Source organism: Homo sapiens, chromosome 1 (assembly GCF_000001405.40).
Source record: "Homo sapiens chromosome 1, GRCh38.p14 Primary Assembly".
NCBI classification, from domain to species: Eukaryota; Metazoa; Chordata; class Mammalia; order Primates; family Hominidae; genus Homo; species Homo sapiens.
The window spans coordinates 162412137-162421771 of record NC_000001.11 but is presented as its reverse complement, the minus strand read 5'-3'; the positions used below and the strand labels follow the sequence as shown (position 1 = coordinate 162421771).

The window sequence follows — 9635 nt, the reverse complement described above, 5'->3', positions numbered from 1 at the left end:
TCAAGATACTGAGCTGCAGCAAAAAGTAGGTAAAGGTCAGTTACACTTTTGGTTTCATTTACCCTGATGCTTTCTGGCTTTCTTTCTTTTGGTATTATGAGGGCAAGAGATACAAAATCAATAAACTAGGTAGTGATATTAATCTGCTTTCTTCTAAGAGCTTTCAGGGAGAGAGCCAACAACTCCTCCAGACAACTGTTCATGATAAGAGGATAAAACAGGTTTAGTGTGTGAAATTATGTTTCTTGTAAGTCCGGAAGGAAAACGTGTACAAAAGCATCTCTTGTTGACACCCCCGCTCACTCTGGCAGTAGATCAGAGAGCCCTAATGCTGGTGTTATCAGATATGCTGGACATAAACAATAACCACAGTTGTGCTGTGGCTGGAGCTAGAAGTGGCCAGTTGATTACAATCTCCTTCCTCTTGAGATTTCTCAGGGGCTAGACTCCCACCAAGAGCCCAGGAAACATAGTTTAGAAGTTGGCAGAGAAGTCAAGACTGCCACAGAGCCTTGGCAGTGCAGCAGACATGTGATTTCCTGGAGCTGACCATGAACTACCTTTTTGTTTTCTCTTCTGATTGTCCCTGATATTTGTTTCAGCATTTTGTTTTAATTTTATTAATATTTCTTCCTTTGATCATATCCCTAATTTTGTGGGCTGAATAATGGTTCCTTATGCCCTGGATTTTGTGAATATGTTACGTTTCTTGACAACAGGGACATGACAGATGTAATTAACATTACTAATCAGCTGACTTTAAGACACGGAGATTATTCTGGACTGTCTTGGGTAGGCCCAATGCAAAATCATGAGATTCCTTTTTCTTTCTTTTTTTTTTTTGTTTGTTTGTTTTTTTGAGACATGGTCTCACTCTATCACCCAGGCTGGAGTGCAGTGGCGTGAACATGGCTCACTGCAGCCTTGATGTTCCTGGCCTCCAGCAATCCTCCCACCTCAGCTACCCAAGTAGCTGGGACTACAGGCATGCACCACCATGCCCAACTAATTTTTTGATTTTTTGTAGAGATGGGGGTCTCATCTTGTTGCCCAGGCTGATCTCGAGCTCCTGGGCTCAAGTGAGCCTTCCACTTTGGCCTCTCAAAGTGCTGGGATTACAAACGTGAACCACTGTGCCCAGCCCCCATGGGATTTCTTAACAGTAGAAGAAGAAGGGAGAATAGTGGTCAGAGATATGCAGTGGAATCAAGAGACAGAAGAGGGATTGGAAGCCTGTGAGAGACGTCACCCACCATTGCTGGTTCTGAAGTTGGAGGATGAAGGCCGTGCACCAAGGCATGTGGGAAGCCTCTAAAAACGGGTAATGCCTCTCAACTGACAGACAAGACACAAATGAGTCATTAGTGCTACAATGACCTTAAATGGAATTCCACCAATAACCTGAATGAACAAGGATATGGATTCTCCCCTAGGACCTCTAAAGAAAACGCAGGCCTGCTAACATCTTGATTTTGGCCTTGTGAGATTCTAAGCAGAAACCTAGCCAAAGTTGCCAGACTTCTCACCTAAGGGTACTGTGAGATAATGAATTTGTGTTGTTTTAAGCTGCAAAGTTTGTGGTAACTTGTTACAATAGCAATAGGAAACTTATACACCTAACAAATCAGGTCCCCTTAAGAAGTAAACCCAGGTTCCTCCTGTGGAGAATGAGGTAGATTTCATTAATTTTCTTCTCCTCACTCACCTGTGTCTGTACGTTGAATAGCGTGATCCTCTTCACTATGAATTAGCCCAGCAACCAAGCCTTGTAGGTCAAGTATTCAGGGTTAAACTCAGTTTCTTCTTCCAAGAAGACTCATCTTGTTTACTGTTGGGGGAAACCAGCCCCACACCACCCAGAGGGTACCCGGAGTCCGGCAGAGACAAAGGAGTTAGAAAGAGACAGAATAAGCTTTAAAAGGTGAGTCCAGGGGATGGGAGCAGCTGAGGCTTGCTGAAGGCCCAGAGCTCTCGGGCTCCGCCCAGTTTATTGGTTTACAAGCTCTTCGTTCTTAGGGCAGATGGGAGGGCGAGGAGGGAATGAGGAAAAGGATTAATCAGTGAAGGAGAACTCGTGAGTCATTCAATAAGATGTATAGCAGTGGCAGTTTCTGTGAATTTCCTTGAGCAAAGGTGTATGTCTAAACTACTTAAGATCTTTAACTTATCCAGACTGAAATGGGTGGGAGTGGGTTTCAGGAGGAGCCAAGATGTTTGATTATACTCCACTGCTTCAAGGGAGTGTTATCTCCCTGAGCAACCTGTGGCATGCCGCTGAGCAGTTATGCTCTCGGGGCATAAAGGCATGAAGGCAATAAGGAGACTTTTCTCCTCAGAGGCCGCCCATGGCTCCCCATGGGTGTCTCACACAGGGGAGACCAACTCAACTGGCACCCCAGAAACTCTCTTTCCACAGTTTACCTAAACCAAATTGCATGGGGAAGAAAGGTGCAAAATGTATATATTCCTAATGAACAAACTTCCTAATCACATCTTCTAAAATTCACACAGTACTCACCAAGTTGACCTTTTATATTTGATTAGAGTATCTCAGCTCGTTTTGAGATTTTTATTTTGCACTCTTCAGGGATTTTTTTTATTATCATTTTGCTTACTTCTGAGTATTTTATTTTTAAAATAAAATGATGCATATAAAAACCTTTTTCTAGTATATTCAATAGTTCAAGCTGTTAAATGGATATACTATTGCTATTGTATCTGTATTCACCTCTTAAACAGCTCAGAAGTTTACCTGCATGTCGTAAGTATGCTCTTATTAACACCAAGCTGTTATTTTATATAACTAATCCAGTTTTAGCATGGCTTTTAAAATTTTATTTGAGAAATGAGAGGAAAAATGAGAGATAATACATCTGTGGTAGAGTGGCTTTCAGAAAGCTGCTAGTCCAGGGCTGGGCACAGTGACTCATGCCTGTAATCCCGGCACTTTGGGAGGCTGAGTCGGGCAGATTGCTCGAGGTCAGGAGTTCAAGACCAGCCTGGCCTGCACGGTGAAACCCCCATCTCTACTAAAAATACAAAATTAGCCAGGCGAGGTGGCATATGCCTGTAATCCCAGCTACTCGGGAGTCTGAGGTGGGAGAATCGCTTGAGCACAGGAGGTGGAGGTTGCAGTGAGCCAAGATTGTGCCACTGCACTCCAGCCTGGGTAACACAGCAAGACCCTGTCTCAAAAAAAGAAAGCTGCTAGTTCAATGTAAGAGGAGATCAACAAGTAGTAGAAGGTCAACATTATTGTGGAAACATTCAGTAGATTCCAATATAAACTGGATAGTGTGGGTGTCAACATCCACACTGGAAACATCCAATATTATTATTGGATGTTATTATTATTTTCCATAACTGTATTAGTTATTGAAACTGTATTAGTTATTGAAACTATATTAGTTATTCAAAATAATAGCTTGATGTTAAATTAACAAGAGCATACTTGTGACATGCAGGTAAACATCTGAGCTATTTAAGTGGATGTTTGATGTTATAAAACTCATTGTGTGCTCATCTACACAATGTTTGATGTTATAAAACATCTACACAATATTAGTAGATGAGTAATTATATTCAAAATATCAATGAAGATAACATTTGAACTAATAAAAAATTCAATTGCATATGCCAGGGTACTTGTTAGGATCTTTTCACTGCAAAAAAAAAAAAAAATGCCCGTATTCAAATAGTTTGAAGAGTGAGGAAATTTATTCTCCCATCCAATTGGAAGTCAAGAAGAGGAATGGTCTTCTAGGTCAGTTGTTAAAGCCGCCCAGTGCCATTTTCAAGGACGTAGATTCTTTCTCTCTCTCTGCCTTTCCTTTCTCGGCAGACCGGCTGGCCCTCGGGCTGACACTCTTGTGGCTCCAGAATGATTGCCAAAGGTCAAGGCCTCCCATGCAGACATATCACCATCCAGACAAAACAGGGGCCATCTTGTGTGGAATCTTTCAGATATGAACAATAATAGAAAACCAAGCCCTAACTACGTGCCAGCTGCATTATGTATATAATCCTCTCAGCAACTCTATATGGTCATTATAATGATCGTCTCCATTTTCTGAAAAACAAAGGCACAAAAAGCTAGGCAGTTTGCATTCATCACTGAGTAGCGAAATTGGAATTCAAATCCAGGCAGTCTGGTGGTGATATGGTTTGGATCTATGTCCCCACCAAATCTCATATTGAATTGTAATCCCCATTGTTGGAGGTGGGGCCTGGTGGGAGGTGATTGGATCATGAGGGCAGAGTTCTTATGAATGGGTTAGCACCATCCCTTCGGTGCTGTTCTTGTGATAGTGAGTGAGTTATTGTGAGATCTGGTTGTATAAAAGTGTGTGACACCTCCCCCTTCTCAGTCCTGCTCCCTCTTTGCCTTCCACCATGAGTAAAAGCTCTCTGAGCCGTCCCCAAAAGCAGATGCTTCCATGCTTCCTGCATAACCAGTGGACTGTGAGCCAATTCAACTTCTTTATGAATTACCCAGTCTCAGGTGTTTCTTTGTAGCAGTGCAAGAATGAACAGGTGGCAAGGCCTCTTGCTGAAGCCCCCACACCACACTGCCTCTCACATAGGCGGTTCTGCCCTTAGAGTCATGGAGATTCCAAGAATATTGGGGTCCCACTATAAAGTATGTTCAATGAATGATGGTGATGCAATGAGTTAGCTCTTTAAGGAGATAGACAAAGTGCTATCTCCTACGATAAGACAGTAGGAATGAAGTGGGAGGTCCTACACTGTTGCCCTCCATCAGGCATCTTTTAACAAGCACAACACAAGCATTTGCCATGCTGCTGTGGTCAGTGATGATCTTGTGATCTTGGGCTTTCTGGGGTTGACACCACACTGTCCAGTTTCTACGTGACTTTTCACTCAGAACAACACTGTGATTCACATTTGGCCTCATGCTTCCTTGGTCTTGAGAACAGAATTTTATCTGTAAGGCTGGATTTATTTGACATCTTTAGTAGAAAATAACAAAAACAAATGCCAACTAGCTTATGACAAAAGGGAAATCTATTAAAATGACAAAAAAACTCAAGGGCAAGCATGTAGCCAGACCTCAGAAATCACTGAATCCTGGAATGAAAACCCATGGAAAATCCAAGTGAGACTATCTTTTGACTCTGCTTTTTTTCATGTGTCCACTTCATTCCTCATTTTGCAGACCAGTTCTCTTCTCCTGACAGCTTGCTGGGATATGGCCACCAGTATACAGTGTAAAAATGTACCTGTTACACAGCCATTCCTAGAGAATTAATTTCCATTCCCATTTCCTACCCATCCCAGCCCCCTACCCTCTTTCTTTCTTTCTCTTTCTTTCTTTCTTTCTTTCTTTTTCTTTCTTTCTCTCTCTTTCTTCTTTCTTTCTCTCTTTCTTTCCTTCCCTTTCTCTCTTTCTTTTCTTTTTCTTTCTTTCTCTTTCTCTTCTTTCTTTCTTTCTCTTTCTTCCTTCCTTCCTTCCTTCCTTCCTTCCTTCCTTCCTTCCTTCCTTTCATCTCTCTCTCTTTTTCTCTCTCATTTCCTTCATTTCCCCATTTTCTCTAAACTCCTGGATAAGGGTTTGTGATTAACTTATCTTAGGTCGGAGGCCTATCCTTGATCAAATCACCCATGGCCAGAAGAATAGGGTCATGTTCTACAAACATAGTGCTAGGTTTTTGTTTCTGTGGATGAGAGAAAGGGGACCCACGCAAGAAATTGAAGATATTCCTGTGTACTGTGGAGCTATTCTTAAAGGTGACATGGGATCAGAATAATATGGGAATGGAAAGATATTTTTACTATTAAAACTTTACAACACATGCAAAAAGAGACATTAATATAATGAACCACACACACAATCACCCAGTATCAGACATAACACTTCAATACGTATCTCTAAAAGTTATATTCACAAAAGCATAATGCCATTGCTACACGCACTATCTAATATCAAATCAATACTTAAATTTCCCCCAGCACTAAATTTTTGGTATTTGGTTTTTTCAAGCCAAGATCCAAACAAGATGTCATCTAGCATTGGTTTCATGCTGCATAACCATCTTTTTAACCTAGAGCAGTTCTCACCCAACTATCTGACTCAGTTTTTACAACCTATGAAGACACCACATTATTTGTTCTACTGAATGTCCCATACACTGGATTCCAAGAGCTTAAAGCTTTTCTCCAAGGAGCTAGGACAAAGGGCTACATCTATATTTGGGCAAGGTTGATCTTTTACTGGATAATATAAATTCAACGTATTTTGATCAACCACAATCATTATTCCTTTGATACTTAAATTTTTCCATATTGGGTCTTATGTCCTTTGACATGACTCAGTCTTCACTGACACACTTATATGTCCCTGGCATGAATTCAGCCATTTCTCTAAAAAGTTCTTGCTTCTTTTATAGGAGAAGTGGTATTTAGAGACCATAGCCTTATCCCTAGGTGTGCTCATTGCTACCAAGTTTTCATTGTTTTAGCTAGGGATTGGCAAACTACAGCCCATAGTGCTGCTTTTACACTACAATGGCAGAGATGAATGGTTGCAACAGAGACTATTGCCTGCAATGCCTAAGAAAAAGTTTGCTGGCCCCTGTTTTAGGCCTTTTGTTGAAAAGCAAGTTGTAAATCCATGCTGATATTTCCAATTCAAATTTAGCATCAAAAATTTTATTTAACTTCTTTGCTTTTATATGTGTATCTCTTTTCTTATACTGAAAAAAAATCTTGATTCTAGAATTTTCCCAGGACTCATCTGTCTTTAACACTGAAAGTCGTAGATACTGGGAAACCCCTCAGACATAAGCAAACTGGTACAGTTGTTTACCTTACTTAGTTCTTAAAATGTTAATATCAGTATGATTTTTGTTTATCTTATAATATGAGTTAAATATATTTAAATTACACCAAATTATCACTAAATTTATTTGCTAGTTTATTTAATGTACAAGATATTTAATTAAAACTGTTCACTCAAATTCTACATTCTAAAGTCAGTTGAAATAATTTTCTTTATGATTATATTACCAAAGTAATGTTCAGTTAGATACATTATTTTAGTTTTTATTCCTCCTTTTAGGAATACCCTTTTACTTGTTTATTTTCAATGTGTAAAACAATTATGGCCGGGCGCTGTGGCTCACGCCTGTAATCCCAGCACTTTGGGAGGCCGAGGTGGGTGGATCACGAGGTCAGGAGATTGGGACCATCCTGACTAACATGGTGAAACCCCGTCTCTACTAAAAATACAAAAAATTAGCTGGGCGTGGTGGCAGGGGCCTGTAGTCCCAGCTATTCGGGAGGCTGAGGCAAGAGAATGGCATGAACCCAGGAGGCAGAGCTTGCAGTGAGCCGAGATCGCACCACTGCACTCCAGCCTGAGCGACAGAGTGAGACTCTGTCTCAAAACAAAACAAAACAAAACAAAAAAACAATTACATGATTCTACATTCAAAACTCCACAGCAGGCTGGGCGCAGTGGGTCACATCTGTAATCCCAGCACTTTGGGAGGCCGAGGCAGGCAGATCACTTGAAGTGAGGAGTTTGAGACCAGCCTGGGCCACATGGTGAAACCCTGTCTCTACTAAAAATACAAAAATTAGCTAGTCATGGTGGCACGTGCCTGTAGTCCCAGCTACTTGGGAGGCTGATGTGGGAGAATTGCTTGAACCAGGGAGGCAGAGGTTGCAGTAAGCCGAGATCACACCACTGCACTCCAGACTGGGTAACAGAGTGAGATTCTGTCTCAAAACAAAACAAAACAAAAAACCAACAACTCTACAGCAAGTTTTACTGAGAGAAGTCTCACCTCTATGCATGTTTCCGCTCTCCTCTTAGAGGCAGAAGTTTTTAGTTTTAATTAGTTTTAGTTTTGTTCTTCCAGTGGGTGTTTCGTTTGTTTTTTAAATATGAGCAAATATTATAAATGTATATATTTATTTATATCCCCCATACTCTATATACTATTGTGCATCTTGCTGCTTTCACCTAAAAATACATCCTGAAGATTATTGCATATCAGCATATAGAGATCTTCCTCAATCCCATTTTATTATTCTATAGTAATATTCCATTGTATACATGAATCACAGTTTATTCACCTGTCCCTCTATTCACAAGTCTTTGAGTTGTTTGTAATCTTTTTCTATTAAAAAATACTACCTTATTCACAAGTCATTTTCTAATTCTGCCTGTGTAGTTTTGTGACAGATTTCTAGAACTGAGATTGTTCTATCAGATGGTGAAGGCATACATAAATTTGCAAGATATTGCCAAACCATCTTTTACTATAGTTGTAACTATTTTTTATTCCAACTAATGATATACAAGATATTCTATTTTCTTTCACCATGACCAACCCAATAAGCTTTCAAACTTTTGATTTTCACCCATATGATAGGTGAGAGTTGTTATCTCAGCATGCAGGTAATTTGCATTTCTTTTATTGTGAGGGTTGGATTTTGAAACAGCAAAAAGGGCAAGGAAGCCCCTGTGATGACCAAGAGCCTGAGCATGCTTTCAGTTATTTCCTCTCTTATGTCAAAAAGCATCTTTACACCACGATTGTGAATTTATTCACAAGAAATACCAAATTTCTTCTTTCATTATTAACAACTCTGTCTTCAACTGCCATAGTTTCCAGAGAATTGAATAATGAATTGTCCAAAACCACAGAAGAAAAGTTGCTATTTGAGAGCATATCTGTCTGATAACGAGTTCCCTGATCAGTGAAACTGCACTATGCCAAATGCAGAGTGGGAATTCCAAGGAAGAACAAAGATCTGTTACAAGGAAGTTCCATAGAAGATACACCCAACTGTGAGTAAACAGCTGGTAAGCAAAGTAGCAAGGTGAAATAAACATCTAGGTTAAGAAGAAGTTAAGATCTCCAGGTACTACGGAGATGAAGAAAACAAAAAAAAGAAGAAGTTAAGAGAAGTAAAGATGAATCGTTAGCACATAGTTCTATTTTCATAGATAACATTTTTGAGATATATATAGTGATTTTCTGTAGATATATGAGTATACCCAGATATCCCTCCCACCTACACCAGCCCTTTCTCCAAAAGGAACAATGCTTGAGGGTGTTCAAATGGCCTTTTTTCACCAGTGGCTGGGAGCCTTAGCCATGGAATGGGCTGTCCTCATCCACAGTGTCCCACTGTTTTTTATTGCCATTAATGTCTTCCATTTTTAGTGTCATTTGATCCACGGAAATCCCACCCTTTCAATTTTCCCATTGTATCTGAGCATATCAATTCTCTCAGCATCCAAATGGTTTTTGAGCACCCAGTCTAAGCTAAGCATAGCCCAATCCTAGGCAACTTCAGCAGAAAATGGGTACCATTACAGCAAAAGCAGCGGTGTGCTTCCTGGAAAGGATACCAGTAGCCAAAGAAGTTGATGATAGTCCATGGTAATATACAAGGCTGCAACACAGTTCCAGGAAGCTTGACTTCAGCATTGCCTCCCTAGCCATGAGCATCACTGATTCCATTGTGTGTTTAAATGTGCTTTACCTACTTCTGTGAGTCACATGTGGGCCATTTAGAGGGTGAAAAGTGTTGGTCATTTTATCACCCCGCCCTCCTCATTTCCTGAATCTTGTGAAGCTGGCTGAGTCCCACAGACCGCT

At 40.4% G+C, this 9635-nt stretch overlaps 1 annotated feature.

The window, feature by feature from the left end:
• Positions 1043-2242: an enhancer, noted in NCBI's record as "P300/CBP strongly-dependent group 1 enhancer chr1:162389320-162390519 (GRCh37/hg19 assembly coordinates)". NCBI's record gives its function as "activates an origin of replication core promoter dependent on BRD2, BRD4, P300/CBP, MED14 and CDK7 cofactors, with strong dependence on P300/CBP, by STARR-seq in HCT116 cells {active_cell/tissue: HCT116}" and the evidence as "EXISTENCE:reporter gene assay evidence [ECO:0000049][PMID:35650434]".